This window comes from Homo sapiens, chromosome 8 (assembly GCF_000001405.40).
Source record: "Homo sapiens chromosome 8, GRCh38.p14 Primary Assembly".
Lineage (NCBI taxonomy): Eukaryota > Metazoa > Chordata > Mammalia > Primates > Hominidae > Homo > Homo sapiens.
Window position 1 is genome coordinate 120,087,161 of NC_000008.11, and position 25,800 is coordinate 120,112,960.

At 38.4% G+C, this 25,800-nt stretch overlaps 1 long non-coding RNA gene across 1 annotated transcript in view; it reads left to right on the forward strand.

Moving 5' to 3' along the window:
• Nucleotides 1-20,475, forward strand: part of LOC105375730 (uncharacterized) — a 37,891-nt gene extending 17,416 nt beyond the window's left edge. Inside the window, exons 2-3 of the long non-coding RNA XR_928593.4 lie at nucleotides 18,423-18,467; nucleotides 20,303-20,475. This is a non-coding gene — a long non-coding RNA (uncharacterized LOC105375730). The remainder of the gene's footprint in view (nucleotides 1-18,422; nucleotides 18,468-20,302) is intronic.
• Nucleotides 20,476-25,800: the final 5,325 nt, after the last annotated feature.

The window sequence follows — 25,800 nt, forward strand, 5'->3', positions numbered from 1 at the left end:
GCAGATCATCTAAGGTCAGGAGTTCGAGACCAGCCTGACCAACATGGCTAAACCCTGTCTCTACTAAAAATACAAAAATTAGCCGGGCATGGTGGCACACACCTGTAATCCCAGCTACTCAGGAGGCTGAGGCAGAAGAATTGCTTGAACCCAGGAGGCAGAGGTTGCAGTGAGCCAAGATTGTGCCATTGCACTCCAGCCTGGGTGAGAAGAGCGAGACTCCATCTCAAAAAAGAAAAAAAGGGAGAGAGAAATTAGAATTCTTCTTCCCCAGGGCAGGTTATAGAAACCAGCTATATTACTCTAACCTTCCCCTGCCTTCTGTGTAGGAGCTGGCCTTAAGAAATTCTCTGACCTACCTTTCTGATAGTAGGTCATAAGACCCTCCTTCTAGAGGGCTTCTGTCCTATACCAGGAGGAAGAAGTGCTGCATAGAGAGGCCAAAAAGAATCTGAACAGACAGGCCTTGCTGGGTTAACTCTCTCTCCCCCAGTCTATTACCATTAGATCATACCCATTTTTCCAATCACATTTCCACATGGCCGTCTACACTTTACTAAATCTAAGGATAAAAATGAACCATTTTCTCTGGGTCTTTGGGTCTTCATTTCTGAGGGCTCCCATGTCATGGATGACTTTGATTAAATAAATTTGTTATGCTTTTCTCTTGTTAACCTGTCCTTTGTTATGGCGTGTCAGCTTTGATCCTTATGATGGGTGAGGAAACATATCACATATTTCCTGCTTCCTGGAATATTAGTCAATGACATTTTCTCCATCTCATAAGCTTAGAAATTCAAGAGACATCTTTACTGTCTCTTCAGGGCTGGCTACATGGTGGCCCTGGTGTACTGCCAGCTGCACCACTGCTTACCTTAGTCAATTCCTTTGACATATGGCAGGATGCGGTGAGTTTGGAATGGTTTAAGCATTATTACTGTAGCCAGAAACTGTCCAGTTGTTTATGGCCAGGTTAAATAAGATAATGGGAAGGATATACAGATGTGTGTGTGTGTGTGTGTGTGTGTGTGTGTGTGTGTGTGTGTGAGAGAGTGTGTGTGTGTGTGTTTGTATGTGTGACAGAGAAAGAGAAAGAATGGTAAGTATGATGCAGAGAGGAGGGTAAGATAGGAAAGGCAGCAGCTTGGACATAAAAGGAGTCCATGCTGAACATCTGCTATGTACCAGGCACTTCAAGACACTCTCTCATTTAACCCTCATAGCAACTCCACTTTAGTTTTGTTTTTGCTTTTGTTTTGAGTGTCTCACTCTGTAGCCGAAGCTGGAGTGCAGTAGTACGATCTTGGCTCACTGCAACTTCTGCCTCCCGGGCTTAAGAGATTCTCGTGCCTCAGCCTCCTGAGTAGCTGGGACTACAGGTGCATGCCACTACACCCGGCTAAGTTTTTGTATTTTAGCAGAGACCGGGTTTCACCATGTTCCCTAGGGTGATCTCAAACTCCTGAGCTCAGGCGATCCGCCCGCCTTGGCCTCCCAAAGTGCTGGGATTACAGGCGTGACCCACCGTGCCCGGCCTTCACTTTAGTATTTTATTATCCATTTTGGAAATGAGTAATCTGAGAGAAACTAGATAGTTTAGGGTCAGACAGCTCATGAGTGTCAGAATTTGAGATTGAAGACATGTGTGTGCAGACTCCCCATTGTGTGTGTGCTTCTGCACTTCTGCACTTCCGTGAACATAATGAGAATAACAATGTAAGAATAAGAAGAGGTAGCTGATCTTTCTATGAACAGTTACTATGTGTCATCCAATTTATAAACATTCTCTTAACTAGTCTTCCTAACAATCCTGTAAATTAAGGACTACCATTACGGCTATTTAAGAGACCCTGAAACTAGTGCTCAAAGGCTTTTGTAATTCTCCCAAGCTTACACAGTTATTAAGTGGTGGCGCAGAAATTCAAATTAGGTTATGTGATACCCAACACTACGTGCTTTATTCTCACTCTTTAGGGTAGTGCCCCGGCCTGGAGAGGCCACAGTGCAGGTGTCAGGAGGGTGCCATTAGAAGGGCCGTGTCTGTGCGTGGAACACATGGCCACCCATGCCTGCGCCACAGTGGGCAATGGAAACTCAATTCCAACCCTTCCATTAAAGCTCTTATCTAGTTACCCCTGTCTCTCGTAGGATAGGTTGTTTTACTGCAGGAAAATAATCTCAGTGGCTTAAAACATCAGAAGTTTATTTCTTTTTAACACACATTCAAATCAACCATCAGCTGGGAAGCGCTGTTCTGAGTCGCCCCTTCTCAGGCTGATGGACCAACCGCTAGATGGAGCAACACTGGTCATCGCAACAAAAAGAAAACCCTAGAAACTGGACTGTGCTTTACACAGCTTGTAGCCACCTGCAGTTACTTAGATTTGATTCAAAAGTAATTAAAATCAAAGAAAATGGAAATTTCAGTCCCTTCTTTGCACAAGCTGCATTTCAAGTGCCTGATAATTTTTTCCACTTGTGGCTACTGGCTACTATATTTTGTAGTGTGGATTATGGAACATTCCCATCATCACGTTGGTCTTGACCTATCTGGTCTCTCACACTGTCCTGACTCAGAAATAACACATGTTTACTTCCACTCAGAATTCACTGGCCAAAATTGAGGGATTGAGAGGCTGACATTTTTGAAAGACTGTCCTAAAACTGAAGATAACAGAAGTTAAAGAAAACATAAACATAAAAACATTCTTTTTAAAAATTATTTTTCTGACCTAGTGGTATAACTTGTTTCTTTCCTCTACTCTCTCTTTTGCTAGTGAAATCCTACAGGGCTGGCAGAAATTTATAGATGCGTTGCCCCTAAGAAACCTTTACATGATTCAAACTGTCATACTTGCTCTTGTCATTGTGCATGTAGAGCTAGACTGACTGAGTTTTGAATCCTAATTCCTAACATGAAGTAGCTTTAAATTAAGGTTTTGCTCAAGCAACTTAACCTTTCTGAACCCCAGTTTTTTTTTTTAGTAAAATGAATCTAATAAAAATATTTCTCACATATTTACTTTAACCTTATATATAAAATTAGAATACCTGGCTGTATCAGGCAGCCAGTAACTAACTGTTAGCTACTATTGCTGTTATCACAAAGAAATTTATTTCCTTGTCCATTCATTCCAAGTCAAAGAGTTCTATCTCTGCTGGGCCAAATAAGGCCATTTTACTATGTCTTAATGATACATCATTTTACACCTATTCATTATGTATGTATATATATTTGATTACATATATAATTGATTTTTAATAATATGTAGCATTCCACTGTGAGACCGAGATACATTTATTTAATTTCATTTCATATTTATTTCATTATAATTGGCAATTATTAAGAAGCCCGACAAAACCGACCTTTAGAAAGATGTTATCATCAAAATCTCTTACATCTCTTATAAATTGCTGGAGGAAGAATAAATTGGCACAATCACACTGGAAAGGAGTTTGGCAGTATCTCATGAGGTTGAATATTCCTAACCCCTATGAACCAGCATTCCCATTCCTGTACTGGCATCACTATTCACAAGAAAAAAAAAGGACAACAATCTGAAACCCATTGCTTAGATAATGAGAACATAGATGCAATTCAGTCCCACAAATAATGCTATGTATCATTGAAAATCAATTATAACTACATGTATTGATAGGAATAAATCCTTCAATATTGAATTAAAAAATGAGTTCAAAATAACTAAAACTAAAAATACAGCATGTATATGTATCTACTTATGTATATGTGTATGTATATTTATGTACATATCCATGAGTGTAGATATATATTTGTAATTTATTATCAGTATTCTAGTTCTCAGCTTGGTGATAAGTTCACAGGTATCATTTTATCATATTACATCATAGTAAGAAAAAGTGAGGCCGGGCGTGGTGGCTCACACCTGTAATCCCAACATTTTGGGAGGCTGAGGCAGGTGGATCACTTTAGGTCAGGAGTTCGAGACCAACCTGGCCTACATGGTGAAACCCCATCTCTACTAAAAATACAAAATTAGCCAGGTGTTGTGACACACACCTGTAATCGCAGCTACTCTGAAGAAGGTGGGAGAATCACTTGAACCCCGGACGAGGAGGTTGCAGTGAGCCAAGACCACACCACTGCACTCCAGCCTGGGTGACAGAGCGAGACTCCCCCTCAAAAAAAAAAAAAAAAAAGAAAAGAAAAAAGTGAACATGTACGGAACAATGATAGTAGTGTGTCATGAACTAAGGGTTGAGACGAGTCCAGTGAGAGCACTTGAGGTGCACTGAGCCCCAGACCTTTCACGCTTTCTTACTACTATCCTCAGTCACCTCTAATTTTCTCTCTCCTAGTGGTACCTCACCTCGGCCAGGTTGGTCTTCCATTTTGAGACTGGGATGAAACACCACAAAACAGGGCAGGTGATATGGTTTGGATGTTTTGTCCCCTCCAAATGTCATGTTGAAATGTGACATCCAATGTTGGAGGGGAGCCTGGTGAGAGGTGTTTGGGTCATGGGGGCGGGTTCCTCATGAATGTCTTGGTGTGGTCCTCGCAATAATGAGGTGAGTTCTCACTCCATGAGTTCATGTGAGATCTGATTGTTTAAGAGAGCCTGGCAGCTCCTCCCTCTCTCTTGCTCTCTCTCTTGCCATGTGACACTCTGGTTCCCCTTTCACCTTCCACCATGATTGTAAGCTTCCTGAGACCCTCACCAGAAGCAGATGCTAGCACCATGCTGCCTGTACAGCCTGCAGAACCATAAGCCAAAATAAATGTTTTTTCCTTTATAAATTGCCTGGTCTCAGCTATTCCTTTATAGTAACACAAACGGACTAATCCAGCAGGGCTCTGACTTCCTCAGCAACTGCCAAGGGGTTAGACACAACACAGAAGTACAGAGGAGTTAGCTTCTTACAGAGTGAAACATAACCAATGGGAAAAAAAAGAGAGAGATAGAGTAGTAGAGTGAGTAGATTTCCTCACCATTCTCTCTTCCGTAGGCTACTCCGAGATGCAGTTCCTCCTGGCAACCCTTCTAGAGAGGTTCTTTGTGCAAGGCAAACTTGCTTTGGCTCTTTGCAATGTGTCATGAAATACATAACAGCAGAGAGCATGGAACACATCCCCTTGTGTTGCTTTTCATCTTTCTTTGCCTTTTGGGTTCTCACTTTCCCAAAACCGTTTTAGGATCTTAATTCTTGTTTCAGGCTCTGTTTTCTAGAGGACTTAGTTTAACACAAGGGATTCATTAATAGTAATAATAATAACAGTCATGTCTCAAAATGAACTTGTGTTGTGCCTGGTGCTGAACCACGCCCTTTCTCTGGATTATTTCCTATAAAGCTCCCAATTACCCTAGGAGATTGTATGATCTTTCAGGTGAGGAAACAGTCACTCGGAGATGTCTTCCTTAAGATCACACAATCACTGCAATGCTTTATCTTTAGAAACATGCACATTATTCAAGGAAGAATGGACAATTTCTGGATACTTGTAAAAACTAGAAATATGCTATTTTTCAGACTCACTTTATATAGCATTCCTTAGAGAACTAGCTTCTCCCCTGCTTCACAAATATTATGACTCAGAAATGCAATGGCTGTAATAGCCACGATAAAGATTCTACACAAGCAGTTAAAGACAGAATATTTAATGACAGAAGGTTGAGAAGGCTTTGTCTGAATAAGAAACTTACTAATAATGTGGACAAACACAGAACAACCTCTCTTGCCTATTTGTAGTGATAATAATAGTATTGGAAAATATTGGCCAAAATATAATTTTATGTAAAAAATAAATCCATGAAAATTTAAAAGCTAATATCAGGAAAACATCACCTAAAGCAACTTATATAAATAATGTAGGCAGGTTTGGATCTATTAATGGGTTGTGAAATATATTTCACAGGTTGAAACTAGCCTACTCTGAAACCAGAGTGGGTTAAAACCAGCATGATAAAAAGTAGAAATAGGACAGAATAGTAATGATCCATCTGCATTTAGGAAAGGTGTATATTGTTTTGGGAAGATTTTCTTTGTAAATGTGTTTTAGAGTACATGTGACTGTATGCTAGGTTATGATGTAAATCTCTTTATTGTAGTAGAAAAGAGTTTTAAAAACACTGATATAGTTGGTGACAATATCACAAGGTTTATAAAACAAAAACAAAACATATTTTCAGAGTCACTGACATCTAGGTTGAAATACCTACCCAACCATAATGTTTTCTTTCTTTCTTTCTCTTTTTTTTTTTTTTTTTTTTTGAGATGGAGTTTCACACTGTCGCCCAGGCAGGAGTGCAGTTGCCCTATCTTGGCTCACTGCCACCTCCGCCTCCTGGGTTTAAGCAATTCTCCTGCCTCAGCCTCCTGAGTAGCTGGGATTACAGGTGTGCCACCACACCCGGCTAATTTTTGTATTTTTAGTAGAGATGGGGTTTCACCATGTTAGCCAGGCTGGTCTGGAACTCCTGGCCTCAAGTTATCCGCCTGCCTTGGCCTCCCAAAGTGCTGGGATTACAGGCCTCAGCCATGGCGCCCGGCCCCACATTTTCTTGTCTTAAGGAAGCCCATGTCTCTTAATGCTCAGAAAACATCATGGAAATGCATCTCTTGGAGGCTGTGCTCCAATCATGCTTTTACCCGTGATGGACTGGACCCCACTGACCTTCCCGCCTGATTCTCACATATCGTCCATTATGGCGGTTTTCTCATTCTCTCGACACCTGGGGGAAATCTTAAGGTTGTTGAGGGCTCAGAGCTAACACTTGACTCAGAGTCTGACACATTTTTGGTACAGAAAATGTTTATTTCTTTCCAAATAGTTCACACCTGAGACCTGACTAAGTACCCAAGCTTCAGGAAGATTCTTGGGATAGAGAAGACAAAGAGGAGATCTAGGCATGGTGAAATGGAAAACAATTAAACTCAGAAGGAATTTGAATTCGTTTTTGGCAAGGACCCTCCACTTTTTCCTAGGCTTGCTGCCTAAACATCAATTCAGTCTGCCTCTTGCAGGTGTCTGTGTGATGCAGAGGGAGTCATTTCATGGCAGAAGTGTGGGCTGGAGAAGACCTGGCTAAATTTCAGAATAGATGGGCTGAGGATGGGGAGGGAACTTTACTTCCCCTCAGTGTTTCCCCATCTCTCTCCTTTGCAACTAGCTGCTTCCTCTCTGGAATTTTAACTTCTATTCTTGGAGGAGAGAACATTTTTAAAAGCTAGCAAACTCAGTAAAGACTCCAACACAATTTTTTTAAAATAAAAATTACCTCCAAAAATGATCAAAGCAAGGTACAATAATTGTAGACAACATTAGCAATAAAGAGAAACAAAAAAGAATAAAATTTATATTACTATCACCTCATCACCCAGAGGAAATTATGATTTATTACTCCTTGGTCTATATTCTTCCAGACCTTCTTAACACATATAACACATACTTTGTCCATTTTGTTTTGCTGTTGTGATTATCCTTGTCTCTTAAATTTCAAAAATAACCATGGTCATTCCTTAGGATAATTCTAGAAGTAAATATCATAACTATATTTTCTGAGTCAAATAGCACACATATTTTGAAGGTCTTCTCTTCAGTTTCCATACACATTCCCAGTCTCTCCTCTCCTCTCCAACCTTCATAGGCAGCCTGGAGATGTGACAAGACTCACAGCACTGCTGTTCTGGTTTACTCTGTAATATCTCCATTTGCTGAAGAATTGTTTGATAAAAGACCATGTCTGGTTATTCTCCCAAATGCAAATATTTTTATCCATCTGCTATCTGATTAAAATGAGTTCATGGGATAATCTTGATAAATCTTAGATATAAATATTATGAACGGAAGTTTATTGGTATGAGTGTTTACAAGTATAAGCACAACCAGGAATCATAGAGGAATTAGCTTTTCCTGTGATTAAACATGACTAATGGCAAGAGAGTCAGGGGGAAGTTGTCTTCTAAGAAGTATCATTAAAAGGGCAACATTGGAGCAAGACAAAGTTACAAAGTAGGAAAAGCAATCTTTTAGGCCATATTAAGAATGTTTGACTTTATCCTAACAGTAACAAGAAACTATTGAAGGAGATTAAGTAGAGGGTAACCTGTTTGGATTGACATTTTGAGAAGTTTACTTTCACTTCAATATAGAAAATGGACTGGTAGAGGCCGGGTGTGGTGGCTCACACCTATCATCCCAGCACTTTGGGAGGCCGAGGCGGGCGGATTGCCTGAGATCGGGAGTTCAAGACCATTCTGCCCAACATGGTGAAACCCTGTCTCTGCTAAAAATACAAAAAAATTAGCCGGGTGTGATGGCGTGCGCCTGTAATCCCAGCTACTCAGGAGTCTGCGACAGGGGAATTGCTTGAACCAGGGAGGTGAAGGTTGCAGTGAGCTGAAATCGTGCTACTGCACTCCAGCCTGGGTGACAGAGTGAGACTCCGTCTCAGAAAAAAAAAAAAAAAAAAAGAAAAGAAAAAGAAAAAGAAAATAGATTGGCAGAGTAAGCAAGAGAGGATGTGGGAAGGTCTTGGTGATTAACAGGACTATGGAATTCAACAAAGACTGAGGCATTGAGGATGATTCCTAAATACACAATAGTGCTACCTTTTCTATGAGAGTAGGAAAAAATAACAATAGGTGATAGGTGCATGTGTGTGCGTGTGCATGAGTGTGTGTGTGTTTCTGCATACTTATATTTTTCTTTTTGCAAAAAAACCCGAAATAGCAACAAAAAACCCTCACAAACACTAAGAATAACCAGAAACTAGGAAATTGCTTACCCATAGAGAAGAATTGTAAGAGTAATAGGGGAGGGTGTGACTTCTCACATATACCTTTTATCATAGTTTCTCAACTTTATTTTTTTCTGGCTGGGCGTGGTGGCTCACACCTGTAATCCCAGCACTTTGGGAGGCCAAAGCGAGTAGATCACTTGAGGTCAGGAGTTCCAGACCAGCCTGGCTAACATGGTGAAACCCCATCTCTACTAAAAATACAAAAATTAGCAGGGCGTGGTGGCATACGCCTGTAATCCCAGCTACTTGGGGGGCTGAGGCAGGAGAATTGCTTGAACCTGGGAGGTGGAGGTTGCAGTGAGCCGAGATCACGCCACTGCACTCCCGCCTGGGCAACAGAGTGAGACTTCATCTCAAAATAAATAAATAAATAAATAAATAAATAAATAAATAAATAAATTTAAAGAACCCCCCCACCCCCTTTCTTTTTCTTTCCAACTTTTATTTTACGTTCAAGGCGTACATGTGCAGGTTTGTTACATGGGCAAAATTTCACAGGAGTTTGGTATGCAGATTATTTTATCATTCAGGTAATAAGTGAAGTACCCAATAGGTAGTTTTTCAATCCTCACCCTCCTCCTACTCTCCACCTTCAAGTAGGCCCCAGTGACTATTGTTCCCTTCTTCGTGTCCATGTGTATTCAATGTTTAGTTCCCACTTATAAGTGAGAACATGCATTTGCTTTTCTGTTCCTGCATTAATTTTCTTAGGATAATGGCCTCCAGCTCCAACCATGTTGCTGCAAATGACAGGATTTTGTTCTTTTTTTTGTGGCTGTGTAGCATTCCATGGTATATATGCACCGCATTTTCTTTCTCTGATCCACTGTTGATGGGCATTTAGATTGATTCCATGTCTTTGCTATTGTGAATAGTACTGTGATTAACATATGTGTGCATGTGTCTTTAAGGCAGATATTTATTTTATTTTTGTTTGGGTATATACCCAGTAATGGGATTGCTGGTCAAATTGTAGTTCTGTTTTAAGTTCTTTGAGGTATCTCCAAACTGCTTTCCCCAGTGGCTGAACTAATTTTCATTCCCATCAACAGTGTATAAGCATTCCCTTTTCTCTGCAACCCTGCCAACCTCTGTTATTTTTTGACTTTTTAATGATATCCATTGTGACTGGTATGAGATAGTATTTCATTGTGATTTTGATTTGCATTGATTAATGATGTTGAACATTTTTTCATTTGCTTGTTGGTTGCTTATATGTCTTCTTTTGAGAAGTGTCTATTCATGTCCTTTGTTCATTTTTAAATGAGGTTGTTTTTTGCTTGTTAATTTGTTTAAATTCCTTATAGATTCTGGATATTAGACCTCTTGGATGCAGAGTTTGCAAATAGTTTTCCCATCCTGCAGGTTGTCTGTTACTCTGTTGATAGTTTCTTTCACTGTGCAGAAGTTCTTTAATTAGGTCCCATTTGTCAATTTTAGTTGTGGTTACAATTGCTTTTGGAGTCTTTGTCATGAAATCTTTGTCAGGTCCTATGTGCAGAATGGTATCTCCTAGGTTTTCTTCTAGGGTTTTTATAGTTTTAGGTTTTATACTTAAGTCTTTAATCCATCTTGAGTTGTTTTTCATATATGGTGAAAGGTATGGGTCCAGTTTCAATCTTCGCATATGGCCAGCCAGCTATCCCAGCACTATTTATTGAATAGGGAGTTCTTTCCCCATTGCTTGTTTTTGTTGACTTTGTTGAAGATCAGATAGCTGTAGGTATGAGACTTTATTTCTGGGTTCTCTAACCTGTTCCATTGGTCAGCGTTTCTGTTTTTCTACCAGTACCATGCTGTTTTGGTTGCTGTAGCATTGTAGTATAGTCGGAAGTCAGGTAGTGTGATGCCTCCAGCTTTGTTTTTTTAGCTTAGGATTTATTGGCTATTCAGACTCTTTTTTGGTTCCATATGAATTTTAGAATAGCTTTTTCAAATTCTGTGAAAAATATTGGTAGTTTGATAGGAATAGCATTGAATCTATACATTACTTTGGGCAGTATGACCATTTAGACAATACTGATTCTTCCTATCCATGAGCATGGAATGTTTTTCCATTCATTTGTGTCATCTCTGATTTCTTTCAGCAATGTTTTGTAACTGTTGTTGTAGAGATCTTTCACCTCCCTGGTTAGTTGTATTCCTAGGTATTTTATTTTATTTGGCTATTGGGACTGGGATTGTGCTCTTGGCTTGGGTCTTAGCTTGGATGTTGGTGGTGTATAGAAAGGTTACTAATTTTTGTACATTGATTTTGTATCCTGAAACTTTGCTGAAGTTGTTTATCAGATCTAGGAGCTTTTGGGTAGAGACTATGGGGTTTTCTGGGTATAAAATATTATCTGTGAAGAGAGGTAGTTTGACTACCTCTTCCTGTTTGGATGCCTTTTATTTGTTTCTTTTGCTTGACTGCCCTGGCTAGGACTTCTAGTACTATGTTTAATAGGAGTGGTAAGAGTAGGCATCATTGTCTTGTTCCAGTTTTCAGGGGAAATTCTTCCAGCTTTTGCCCATTCAGTTTGATGTTGGCTGTGGATTTGTCATAAATGTCTTTTATTATTTTGAGATGTGTTTCTTCAATGCCTAGTTGTTGAAGGTTTTTAACATGAAGTGATGTTGAATTTTATTGAAAGCCTTTTCTGTGTCTACTGTGATAATCATGTGTTTTTTGTTTTAACTTCTGTTTATGTAATGAATTACATTTATTGATTTGCATATGTTGAAGTAACCTTGCACCCAAGAGATAAAGCCTACTTGATTGAGGTGGACTAGCTTTTTGATGTGCTAGTGAATTCAATTTGCTAGGATTTTGTTCCTGATTTGTGTATCTATATTCATCAGGGATAATGGCCAGAAATTTTCTTTTCTTGTGTCTCTGCCAGGTTTTGGTATCAGGATGATACTGGCCTCACATAATGAGTTAAGGAGGAGTCCTTCCTCCTTAATTTTTTTGGAATATTTTCAGTAGGATTGGTACCAGCTCTTCTTTATGTGTCTAGTAGAATTTGGCTGTATCCATCTGGACTAGGGCTTTTACTGGTTGGTAGGCTTCTTCTTACTGAATCAATTTTGGAACTCATTATTGGTCTGTTCAGGGTTTAAATTTCTTCCTGGTTCAATCTTGAGAAGTCGTGTGTTTCCAGGAATTTTTCCATTTCTTCCAGATTTTCTAGTCCATGTGCACAGAGGTGTTTATAATAGTCTTTGAGGGTTTTTTGTATTTCTGTTGTATCAGTGGTAATAACCCTTTGTCATTTATGATGGTGTTTGGATCTTCATTCTTTTTTATTTGTTAGTCTCACTAGAAGTCGATCACTTTTATCTACTCTTTCAAAGAACCAATTTTTGGTTTCATTTACCTTTTGTATGTTTTCTTTGCATCTCAATTTCATTCAGTTCAGCTCTGATTTTGGTCATTTCTTGTTTTCTGCTAGTTTTGGGGTTGGTTTGCTTTTGTTCCTCTAGCTCCTCTAGGTGTGATGTTAATTTGTTAATTTGAGATCTTTCCAACGTTTTGATGTGAGCATTTAGCACTATAAACTTTCCTCTTAACACTGCCTTAGCTGTGTTCCAGAGATTCTGGTATGATGTATCTTTGTTTTCATCAGTTTGAAAATTTTGGAACTCATTATTGGTCTGTTCAAAATTTCAATTTCTTTCTGATTGAATCTGGGCAAGTTGTATGTTTCCAGAAATTTATCCATTTGTTTTAGATTTCTTCTAGAGTGTGCATGAAAGCACATAGTTTTGACTGTCAAAGAATTTCTTGATTTCTGCTTTGATTTTATTGTTTACCCAGAAGTTATTCAGGAGCAGGTTAACTTCCATGTAATTGCATGGTTTTGAGAGGTTTTCTTAGTATTGATTTTTATTTTTATTGTGCTGTGGTCTGAAAGTGTGGTTGGTATGATTTTGGTTTTTTGGAATTTGTTCAGAATTGTTTTATGCAGAGTGTGTGGTCAATTTTAGGGTATTTGCCATATAAGAATGAGAAGAATGTATATTCTGTTGTTGTTGGGTGGAATGTTCTGTAGATGTTAAGTTTGGGTCTTGAATATCTTTTTTTGTTACTTTTCTGCCTCAGTGATGGGTCTAATACTGTCAGTGGGGTGTTGAAGTGGCCCACTGTTATTGTGTGGTTAACTAAGTCTCTTTGTAGGACTCTAAGAACTTGCCTTGTGAACTGGGTGCTCATGTGTTAAGTGCATACATATTTAGGAAAGTTAAGTCTTCTTATTGAACTGAACACTTTATCTTTATATCTTTATCTTTATATAATGTCCTTCTTTGTCTTTTTGATTATTCTTGGTTTGAAATCTGTTTTGTCTGAAATTAGAATAGTAACCCTGTTCTTTTTTGTGTTCCATTTGCTTGGTAGATTTTTCTCCAATCCTTTACTTTGAGCCTGTGGGTGTCATTGCATGTGAGATGAGTCTCTTGAAGACAGCATAGAGCTGAGTCTTTCTTCTTTATCCAACTTGCCACTCTTTGCCTTTAGTGAGATGTCTAGCCTGTTTACATTCAAGATTAATATTGATATGTGTGGATTTGAACATGTCATCATGTTGTTAGCTGGTTGTTATGCAGACTTGATTGTGTAGCTGCTTTACAGCGTCAAGGATCTATGTACTTAAGTGTGTTTTTGTGGTGACTGGAAATGGTTTTTTATTTCCATGTTTAGTACTTCCTTAAGGATCTCTTGTAAGACAGGTCTGGTGGTAACAATTTCCCTTAGCATTTACTTGTCTAAAAAGGATTTTATTTCTCCTTCACTTATCAATTTAGTTTGGCTGGATATTAAATTTTTGGTTGGAATTTATATTCTTTAAGACTGCTGAATATAGGCCCCTAATTTCTTCCGGCTTGTAGGGTTTCTGCTGAAAGGTCTGCTGTTAACCTGATGGGTTCCCCTTATAGGTGGCCTGCCCCTTCTCTTTGGCTGCCTTTAAGATTTTTTTCTGATGGCCAGAGATGATGAGCATTTTTTCATGTGTCTGTTGGCTGCATAAATGTCTTCTTTTGAGAAGTGTCTGTTCATATCCTTCGCCCACAAATGTACCCTAGAACTTAAAGTATAATAATAATAATAATAAAAAGATTTTTTTCTTTTACATTGACTTTGGAGAATCTGATGACTGTGTATCTTGGGGATGGGTGTCTTGTATAGGATCTCTGAATTTCCTAAATTTGAATGTCAACCTCTCTAGTGAGATTGGGGACATTTTTGTGGACAATATCCTTAAATATGTTTTCTAAGTTGCTTGCTCTCTCTCCCTCTGTTTCAGGGATGCCAATGAGTTACAGGTTTGGTCTCTTTACATAATACCACATTTCTCAGAGGTTTTGTTCATTCTTTTAACTTTTTTTCTCTTTATTTTTGTCTTTCTGAATAGATTCAAAGAACTGGTCTTCTAGTTCTGAGATTCTTTCCTTAGCTTGGTGCATTTTGTTGTTAATACTTCTGATTGTATTATGAAATTCTTGTAGTAAGTTTTTCAGCTCTATCAGATTGGTTTGGATAGTTTCTTTCTTTCTTTCTCTTTCTTTCTTTCTTTCTTTCTTTCTTTCTTTCTTTCTTTCTTTCTTTCTTTCTTTCTTTCCTTCCTTCCTTCCTTCCTTCCTTCCTTCTTTCTTTTTCTCTTTCTTTCTCTTTCTTTTCTTTTCTTTTCTTTTCTTTTCTTTTCTTTTCTTTTCTTTTCTTTTCTTTCTTTTTTTTGTTGAGATGGAGTCTCACTCTGTTGCCCAAGCTGGAGTGCAATGGTGTGATCTCGGCTCACTGCAACCTCTGCCTCCCAGTTCAAGCAATTCTCCTTCCTCAGCCTCCCGAGTAGCTGGGATTACAGTTGTGTGCCACCACACCCCACTAATTTTTGTATTTTTAGTAGAGATAAGGTTTCACCATGTTGGCCAGGCTGGTCTTGAACTCCTGACCTCAAGTGATCAACCTGCCTTGGCCTCCCAAAGTGCTGGGATTACATGCGTGAGCCACCGTGCCTGGCCAGTTTGGTTATTTCTTAAAATGACTATTTCATCTTTCAGCTCTTATATAATTTTATTGGATTCCTTAGATTCCTTGGATTGGGTTTTGATTTTATCCTGAATCTTGATGATCTTCATTGCTATTCAGTGTCTGAATTCTATGTCTGCCACTTTAGCCATTTCAGCCTGGTTAAGAACCTTTGCTGGGGAGCTAGTATGGTCATCTGGAGGTAAGAAGATACTCTGGCTTTCTGAGTTGCCATAGTTCTTGTACTGGTTCTTTCTTATCTCTGTGGGCTGATGTTCCTTTAATCTTTGAAGTTGCTTTCCTTTGGATGGGTTTTTTTTTTTTTTTTTTGCTTTTATATTCTTTGATGTCCTTCAGAGTTTGACTGTGGTATAAGTTGGGTTTAGTTGACTGGCCTTATTTCTGGATGATTTTAGGGGGCCAAGGCTCAGTTCGACACTCCTAGGCTTTGTGCTCTAACCTTGGGGGGCTAAGATCTGCCCCACAGGTTTGCTCTCTTGCCCCTCGAGGTTAAGTGCCTGCTGCATTGGAGGGGCTGAGGAGTGTTCCTGATTTGCTGGCGACCACACTCCAATGGGGTGAGGGAGCATGCCAGCAAAAGTGCTTCGTTGGGGTGGTGGCAGCAGGATCCGCACTTGTGTGTGCCAGCAGTGGCAGTGTGCATGGCAGCACATAGTTTTGACTATCATAAACTATCTAGTGTTTTGCATAATCAAAACACAAAATTAAAGCAACATGGATGGGCATGAAACCTAAATTTTAATACAAACAGAAACAAACATTACCATATTTCTATTGAATACGTTTCAGGGATGCCAACGAGCCACAGGTTTGTTCTCTTTACATAATCCCATACCCTAAAGGAAAATGAGAATAATCCGAATAACTTCTCTATCCCATCCTCTGATTAAATATCACTAATGTAAACAGAAAATAACTACTAAGAAACCTTGAAGTGTATTTAGTGAGTTTATTGTTGGTAATGGTATGAGTATGGCAATTCTGAAACTATCTTGTGTGTGTTGTATGATTGAGCAAAGGAGGAAATAGATTGATGTTTTGGGGAGTTATGTTTCTGACTGTGGAGAAAGGAGAGAGAATTATGTTATAAGAGAAGCCCTGTAGTAGCGAACTGCAAAGAGCCTATAGGCAACCTTGTCCCAAGAGTGTTCAGAGCTTGGTTTCTAGATACTCTCCCCCAGTGAAAGGAACCACTTTGGAGAAATAACTGATTCCAGGACTGAGAAAAGGAAAATACAAGGTAAGCCTGGGACATCTTGTTCCAGAAAGTAAAAGAACTGTTCAAAAATGGATGAGGTCATGTCAAAAAGGACACAGAGCCAGTCTGAAGTGGTTCCACTGGCCAAATATGGAATAAGTTGAGAATCAAAATAAATTATGATAGTAATGTATTATAGTTCATTGAATAAAAATTAAAAATTCATGGATCTAGAGGTAGATAGATAAATAGATATTAATAGTATAGCCTTCCTTACTGTAGAATGCCAAACAATGAATATAGAAGGATTCCAAATATAGTAAAAATTGACTTAGGCAAGAATCATTACTGGATGCTAAAGTTATTAGGTGGTGGAACTTTATGGGAAACAAGATATTACACAGTAAAAACTGTGGTATTGGCACACTTGCAAGTCAGTGAGAAATAGGAGAACAATTGGCTGGAACAATTGGCTATTCATTAGGGACCAGGAGCATGGATTCCAGAGCCAAAGTGTCTGGGATAAAATCCTTGGCTATATTGCTTACTTCCTTTGTGACCTTGGGTAAGCTACTTAACCTCTCAAAATTCTGTTCCCTCATCTGTAAAACAGGGATAAGCATGCTATGTATTTATGAAAATTTAATTTTACTATTTGTATAATGCAGAAAGGTGCCCACACACATAAAATACTGTATAAGTATTAAGTAAATACATTTGGAGAAATAATTATAAAATTTAATCACCGCATCATGCTAAAATTAGTTTCACATTAGATTAAAGACAAACAAAAAATAATTTTAGAAGGCATTATGGGAAAGTGTATTTTAATTCTTGTGCAAGATACAAATAATGTAAACCATAAAGGAAAATATCAATAAATTAAATCATACCAAAATTAAGAGTTCAAAGGCATCTGAAGCTTAATTAGTTCAAAGCAAAATTTTTTTTTTTTTTGAGACAGAGTTTTGCTCTTGTTTCTCAGGCTGGAATACAATGGTGTGATCTCAGCTCACTGCACGCTCCACCTCCCAAGTTCAAGCGATTATCCTGCCTCAGCCTCCCAAGTAGCTGAGATTACAGGAATGTGCCACCAGGTTTGGCTAAGTTTGTATTTTTAGTACAGACAGGGTTTCACCATGTTGGCCAGGCTGGTCTTGAACTCCTGACCTCAGGTGATCCACCAGCCTTGGCCTCCCAAAGTGCTGGGATTACAGGTGTGAGCCACCACTCCCAACCCAAAACAATATTTTTAATTTTCCTGTCATTCTAGACTCGTTTGGCATTTTTGATCTCAGAGAATGACACCTTTTCCCATTGAGGCTTTTGTATCTTGCTTATTTTCTTAAAAATAAATTGGGCCAGGTGTGGTAGCTCACGCCTGTAATCTTAGCACTTTGGGAGGCCAAGGTGGGTGGATCACCTGAGATCAGGAGTTCAAGACCAGCCTGGCCTAACATGATGAAACCACATATCTACTAAAAATGAAAAAATTAGCTGGGCATGGTGGCCAGCGCTTGTAATCTCAGCTACTCAAGAGGCTGAAGCAAGAGAATGGCTTGAACTTGGGAGGCAGAGGTTGCAGTGAGCTGAGATCGTGCCACTGCACTCCAGCCTGGGTGACAGAGTGAGACTCTGTCTCAAAATCAATCAGTCAATCAATCAATCGTGGAAATCATTTTATATCAGTTCATATAGGTTTTCCTTATTGTTTTTAAAAAAAGATGCACAGTATTCTATTGCAAGGATCTATCATTCATGCAATCAATTTTCTATATAGGAATTTTTGAGTTGTTTCCAGTATTTTGGCAATTACAAATAATGTCTTAATAAATAACATTTTATGTATTTATTTTCGTATTGTTGAAAGTAAACTTCAGGGCAAATTCCCAGAAGTCGGGTTGCTGGGTCAAAGCGTAAAATGTGTATCGAGTTTTGTTAGATGTTGCCAAATTTCAATCCACGGAGACTGCATCATTTTGCACACCCATCACCAATATATGAGTGCTCATTACCCTACAGAGTATATCATCGTACATACTAATTTTGATCACTTGGATAGATGTGAAATGTTTTACTCTTTTTCATTTGGATTTAATTATGAATGAGATAGAAGATCTCTTCATAGGTGTAAGGACATTTTGTATCTTTTTAGGGGTGTATTGTCTACATCATATATTTTGCCCATTTATCTATAAGGTTTTGGTCCTTCTTTAATCTTGATGTTTACAAGTTATTTACATATTAATGATATTAGTTCTTTATCTGCAATGTGTGTTGAAAATATTTTCTCCCAGTTCATCATTTGTCTATGTTTTTGTTTACAGAGTTTTGTGTCATTCAAAAGTTCTTTAAAAATTTTAAAAATTTTTATAGAGTTGAGTTCATGAATCTTTTCTTTTATTGTCTCTAGATTTTTAGACATATTTTGAAAGTCTTTCATCACCAGATTTCAAAGGTATTTATCTATGTTTTCTTCTAATACTTGCATGGCTTCAGTTTTATAATGAGTTTTCTAATCCATTGGGGTTTTCTTTCTTGTGTAGACTGTGAGGATACAATATTATCATCTATATGGCTTTTCAATTGTCATAACCTAACATCATTTACTAAAAGTCTATCTTGGTCCCAGTAATTAGAGATGTCAACTTTATCATGCATTATATTTCCATATATACTTGTGTCTTCTAGTCTATTCCACTAAGTAATCTGTCTATTCATGAACTAGTACAATAATCTTGTAATTATAATGGCTTTCTGATATATTTGAGTATGACAGAGATTTCTGCCTCCACCTGTCCCTCGATAGCTCTTTATTTTTTTCAGTGTTTTCCCGACTATTCATGCATGTTTATTTTTTTCATATAAATTTTAGTATTAAATTATCTCATTTTAAGATAATCAAATCTTTTTGGCATTTTTATTGGGGCTTTATTAAATCTGAAAATTAACTTATGGAGTACTGACATTTTTATGACATTGAGTCATTCTCTACCTATTTGTTTAAGTTCGCAAGTTAAGTTTTTGGAAGTGTTTTAACATTTCCCTTATGTAGATTTTAAAATTTTCTTAAGGCTATTTCTATTGTAATTGCTATTGTAAATGGGATTCACTCTTCCATTGTTTGTGTATATATGATGGATACTCTATTGATTGTTGTATATTCATTTTATATCTTGCTATCTTTCTGATTTGTAAATCATATGTTTTATTATTGATTCTCTAGATCCATTGAATTTTTATTTTTTTAAATACTAGGTTTTTCTTTTCTAGAAACTCTTTTTTCTTCCAAATATATACCGTTATTTTAATAATCTTTTATTCTTACTCATATTTTCAATTCTCTCTCTTCTTTAAATATTTTAAACATAACTTATTGCATGCTTATTAATCGTCTTACCTAAGGTCTTTGTATATATGAGTCTATTGTCTACTTGTTTTATTTCTGCTGGCTATTGCTTACAGTGTCTTACTTCCTTATGTGGTTTTGTGATTTTTTAAAAAATCATGTATTTGTATATCTTGGAACACTATCCGTGGAATTGTTCAAGGCCTATGTTTAAAGTGAGCTCCTCTAGAAAGGACTGAATTTGCTTTTGCTAGGTGTTTAGGACCAATATCAACCTGGAACCAATTTAAAATAATTCTTAGCCATGAGCTGTTGAAATTCACACACATCATATGAATTCAGGCTACAAACCTGGATGAAGGCTGTGTTAGGGCTGTACATCTCAGAAGGAAATCTCTCCTCACTTATTTAGCCAGGTCCAAGATTAAAAATAAATGAATACATCATTTACTGTTTGCTCTGAGAGCAGGTTTATTTCTGGATCTCACTTTCATGGAAGGTACAACTGTTTACGTTACCAGCTTTCTGTAAGGATCTCCTGGAAAAATTCCTCTTTAGGGGGACCTAGCCTTGAGCTTGAGAGGCTGTCACAGCAAAACTCAGTCTCCAGGGTTTGGCAGATGCCCCAGGACAAAAGCATGCCTGAGTGTTTGTGCACCTTTCTGGATTCCCAGGAGACTTTTATTAATTTTTGACCTTTATGGATTTTTAAAAACTTTCTCACTAGGTTAACAATACATTTAGAAAGCGCCTATTTAAATATGTTATATAGCTTTTTGGTTGTTTCAGTGGAGAAGTTGTTAAGAGTGTGCAGGCTGTCCTAGTTTCACCAGACTTGGAAATCTAAAGTGATTTCTGAAACATCAAATACATTTAATTTAAAATGAATTAAAATTATCATATAGATATCTATTTCTATCATTTTTCTTCCCTTCTTTTCACAGGTGTTGATAGATATCTATTTTTAAACATGGAAAGATGGTGGTGCAATGGCCAGTGAGTACAAAAAGTTAAAAAATTGTAAAAAGTATGAGCCCATCCTTAGAAAACATTCATAGAGATTTTTACATAGAGAGGAAATTGTTTTATACAAAAGTGATTATTAACAGTAGCTGCTTGGGAGGTTGAATTGTGAGTGATTTTTTTTCTTTTGTTTCCCCTTTTGTAATTTTCCATAATAAACATGGATTATTTGGCCGAAAATATAAAAACCTATTTAAAAATCATATAAATCTGAATGAAACATTTCAATACGAAGCAGGAATAGTGTTAGTCTTTTTCAATACTATTTCAGTATCTTTTTAAATTCATCAGCTTTGACTTAAAGTCATATTTTATAGATAAGCTTTTTTTTTTTTTTTTTTTTTAGCCTGTTGGCAAAATCAGTCTGGGGTAGGCTTCTGTCTTCTGTAGAGCTATCTGATTTCCAGAAATGAAAGGCTCTTCCCAATAATGAGGCTGTCAATGGAAAGGGAGCAGAGAATGTGGTTCTCTTTCATTGGAGCCTTCCAAAACATTGCAAGTAGTTTGAGGAGTTGAAATGGCTTAGATGATGTCTTGCCTGGAAACAGAAAATAGAGATGATCTTGCAAATGCTTTCCAGTGGATGATTCTATTATTTTGTATGAGTGTCCCCTGGCTGGAATTAGCTCTTATTTTTTCCACTACCTCATTATAGAAAACTTAACTAACTCCAGATGAAGAATTTCACAGCTTCAACTCTTTTAGAGTTGATCTTGTTAACGGGTCTTTCTAGAATTGACCAGGTAAAAAAATATACAAAATTTAGTGTGGATACCAAGAAATTATGAACTCTGAAGACATCACAACAGCCCCTTTTCTGGGCAAATTTGCAAGAAAATGCCACACCAAAAAGATCAACTGTGTGTAGAAGTGGTTGCTGTTGTACAATAAAAAAGTTTGGAAAAACAAAAAGAATACTCTTGAGACTCCAGGAAAATTCCACTTGCATACATCATAGAATTATTAAAACAGGAAAGACAGTGTAAGGTCATCCAAATCAATTTCTTTCTTTCAGTTAGTCCCCCAGACTTGGTGATGACCAACAGTCATTTTCACTGTGAAGTTTAATTGTACCAATACGTACACTATACTTAATATTTTGAAAGACAGCTTTTTTTTCTAAAACATGATTCAGGTTTAGTAGAATCCCACACCCTCATCAACAGAATTGTTTTCTTCTCCAAGATGTAGTTGTGTTTAGGTGTTCAATAAAATAACTGAAAGTCCTTTCAGTGTTACAAATGAATATTAATTGGTCCCTAGTAGTAAGTCAACTATGCTACATGTACTCATTCCAAAAATCAGACAGATACATTTATTTCGATCGTTGATTTGAAATCTCTTAGTTGAAAGTGCATTTTTGTTCTGTGTAGTAAGGAAAGATTTTTAAATCGTGTTCAATTCTATCATCACAGACACTCATAAATTATTTCATTATCACAAGTGCCGACAGATCAAACTTGGCAGGTTCACTTCACAGAGGTTTGGAATGAGCTGAAGGTTCATCATCATCTATCCTCTAGTTTAAGGCTGAGTCCCTGTGCAGAATACCTCTAAGCAAGGAATATATCTAACCCTTTATGGTCCTGGATCTTCCTCTGGATTTCTGAATGGAAATGTTTTGTGTTGTTTGAGATATTAAGCCAATTAATTATGCTGCAAGTTGGCCCTCATACTGGTGAGGTAGTGCCTCCTAGGGACTGGCTACATCATCACAAATCTCCTTTTTCTTATTTAATTTCTTCATGCCTCCATTTCTTTTTCTAAATGGATGTTACTACATGCTCTTCCTATATTTATAGGTTTGTGATAAAAATCATGCGTGATAGTTTATTTCAGGAAGCTTTGAAAGTGAAATGGCTATCTCATAAAAATTATTCTTATTATCACTCTTAGAGGCAAGATTTTCATAAGAAAACCTTCTGAGAAAGTCAGATATGGATGCTTGAGTGGGCATCTTAATTTTTATTCTTATTTTTGAGGCCTAGTCTCGCTCTGTTGTCCAGGCTGGAGTACAGTGGCATGATCTTGTCTCACGGCAACCTCCACCTCCCGGATTCAAGCAATTCTTCTGCCTCAGCCTCCGGAGTAGCTGGGACTACAGGTGCGCACTACCACACCTGGCTAATTTTTTTTTTTTTTGAGACCTAGTCTTGCTCTGTTGCTCAGGCTGGAGTGCAGTGGCACGATCTTGGCTCACTGCAACCTCCGGTTCCCGGATTCAAGCGACTCTCCTGCCTCAGCCTCCTGAGTAGCTGGGATTGCAGGCGCCATGCCCAAGTAATTTTTGTATTTTTAGTAGAAACGGGGTTTCACCATGTTGATCAGGCTGGTCTCGAACTCCTGACCTTGTGATCTGCCTGCCTTGGCCTCCCAAAGTGCTGAGATTACAGGCGTGAACCACCATGCCAGCCTTGAGTGAGCATCTTGATAGTTAAATCTGACCATATCATTGTCCTGTTCAGAAATCCCTCACTTACACAGAACAAAATCCAAAGTCTGTCTACGCTATCTGGACCCAGCTACAATACTTATGACATCTGGACCCTCTTCCCACTCTGATCTCACTCTTACTCTTTCCTCTTATGCCCACAGTCCTCCTTGCTGTTCTGACATCCCCAGAGACTGCTTTTGGGGCTCCCTGCATCCTTCCTCCAGTTAATTCCAAGGGTGGCTGCCTGCTTAAATGCCCTCGACCCCCCTCCATCTAAAAGGGCAGCTTGTGTCCATTTTCACCCCTGGGTCTTACCCTTCTTTCCAGCACTAACCAGTGACATTATATCATATATTTCTCTGTTGTGTGTTTTCTTTTTCTTTTTCATTTTTTTTTTTGACGGAGTCTCGCTCTGTCACCCAGGCTGAAGTGCAGTGGCGCAATCTCAGCTCACTGCAAGCTCCGCCTCCTGGGTTCACACCATTCTCCTGCTTCAGCCTCCCGAGTAGCTGGGACTACAGGTGTCCACCACCACGCCCGGCTAATTTTTTGTATTTTTGGGGTTTCACCGTGTTAGCCAGGGTGGTCTCGATTTCCTGACCTCGTGATCCGCCCTCCTCGGCCTCCCAAATTGCTGGGATTACAGGCATGAGCCACCGCACCCGGCCTCTGTTATGTGTTTTCTGTCAGTCTCCCCCATGAGTAAGCTCCGGATGGAAGGAACTTTTTTGCTGTGTATCCCTGATACCTAGAATTTCACCTGGCAGGTCAAAGGGGATGGATGAACATGGAAGTAAGTGAATGGCCCCTGAGTCTTCTGCCAGCTGCTCTCTTGGTTAGACAGCATGTGGTGCACATGTGGATTTAGGTAGATGCCTTAAAACTGATGACAGCCACATGGGAAGGATTGAAGAGGCATAACTGATTAATTTTGTTCAATTCAATGTAGCAAACATTTACCAAGTCCCTATTATGAATAAGATCCTGTGTTGGAGTTGATATTCGCACTTCTGCTTCTCTAAAACAGGCTTATAATAGGTGGTTTCCATACAGACGAAACTAAAGCAGAAAGACTTCCTCTGTCAGCTAAGACCATTTCTTCTGATTTCTGCTGAAATAAAATGTCAGTTGACGAGCCTTTTTGAAACCCCTACTATAAGCAAGGCACTGTGCTGCTTATGATCTCAACTGAAACACTTCACAAGGACGTCACTCTTTCAGCTTTAAATAATGGCAATCTAATACTCAGGAAAAAGAATTTGTACAGTAATACAGCATAGGATTATAGACTTTTGCAGACTACATTAACCTGAGTGCTTCTAAAGGTACAAATGTCAAAGCTATTAGAATTCTGTTAATTCTGATAATGTACCCACACCATTCATTGATGTGAACTTTTGATGGAGATGAGAATAAAAGTGCCATTACAAATTAGTCAGAAACATATATTTTTCTCATTATTATTATTATTATTGTGGACGGAGTCTTGCCGTGTTGCCCAGGCTGGACTGCAGTGGCACGATCTCAGCTCACTGCAACCTCTTGCCTCCCGGTTTCAAGCGATTCTCTCACCTCGGCCTCCTGAGTGGCTAAGATTACAGGTGTGTGCTGCCACACCCAGCTAATTTTTGTATATTTAGTAGAGACAGGGTTTCGCCATGTTGGCCTGGCTCCTCTCAAACTCCTGACCTCAGGTGATCAGCCCGCCTCAGCCTCCCAGAGTGCTGGGATTACAGGTGTGAGCCACCATGCCCGGCCTTTTTCTCATTATTAGCTGAACATTTAGGACTCATTTTTGTGCAAATACTCATATAGTTTATTTCTGGTATATTTACCTATACAATTCATAAGAGCAAATTTTAAATGCACACATATATTAGGGCCTCATTACCCAAAAGGCCTGGGATAAAAATAGTGGAAGATACAGAGTGGTATCTGGCACAGTTAATATTAGTTAACAGTGAGGACTTACTGTGTCCCTGACACTCTTCTGAAGGCTTGAAGGGATTAATTAAATTAGATGGATTGATTCATTTGATAATTACCACATGCCCATGAGTACCATAGTGGGTACTCTTACTATTCCCATTTAACCATACTAAAAAACAGGCACAAAGAGGTTAAGCGTCTTGTCCAAGGTTAGTAGTGGTACCAGAATTCTGCACAAGAATCCATGCTTTTAATCACTGCATTATGAATGAACATGCTCCAAGGAAGCATGCATTCCACCTGGGCAGATAAGAAAGAAACAATCTAAATATCAGAGTTGAGAGCAGAGCTCTCTAAAATTAATATGTATATTTTTTCCAAAATACACAATAATGACTATAAGGGATCAAGGGAGCCAAAGATAAGTTCTCCCTGGGATAGTATTGAGCAGGAACTTGAAGGAGGGGTGGGTTCTGTTTAGGTAGATGGGAATAGAAAAGTGTTCATATGGTTTAACATCAGAAAAAGGGCAGAATTAGGAAAATTCTATTTGGGTGTCAGGGAATAATACAAGAGCAAACTTTTAGGAAGTGCTTACTAAGTAATAGGTGAAGAGCCTTCCAGATATTATAAAATTAAATCTCCTAAACACGATAAGAGGTAACTATAACTACCATGCTACAATGTGGATAAAGTAACATGTCTGGCTCTGACTTCAGAACTCACATCCTTAATCTACATTATAAAGTTTGTCCAGGAGGTTGAGTGGACATAAGATAGGAAAGTTAGGCTAAGGCAGACACGGAGGAACTTGATTACTAAGCTAATATATTTACACCTTATTCTGTTTAAAGGAGCCACCACTGGGAGGATCAGAGCAGGTGAAGGATGTAAGTAAAGTGGGTTTGCTCCTGCAGGAATATACAGACTGTTGATCTCAACCTTGGCTGTGTGCTAGAATCACTGAGAAGATTCTGATAAAATACCCATGTCTGCCCCTGCTCCTGGTCAGCTAAATAAGACACTCTGGGTTGCTCATTTCCCTCATTTACTTAA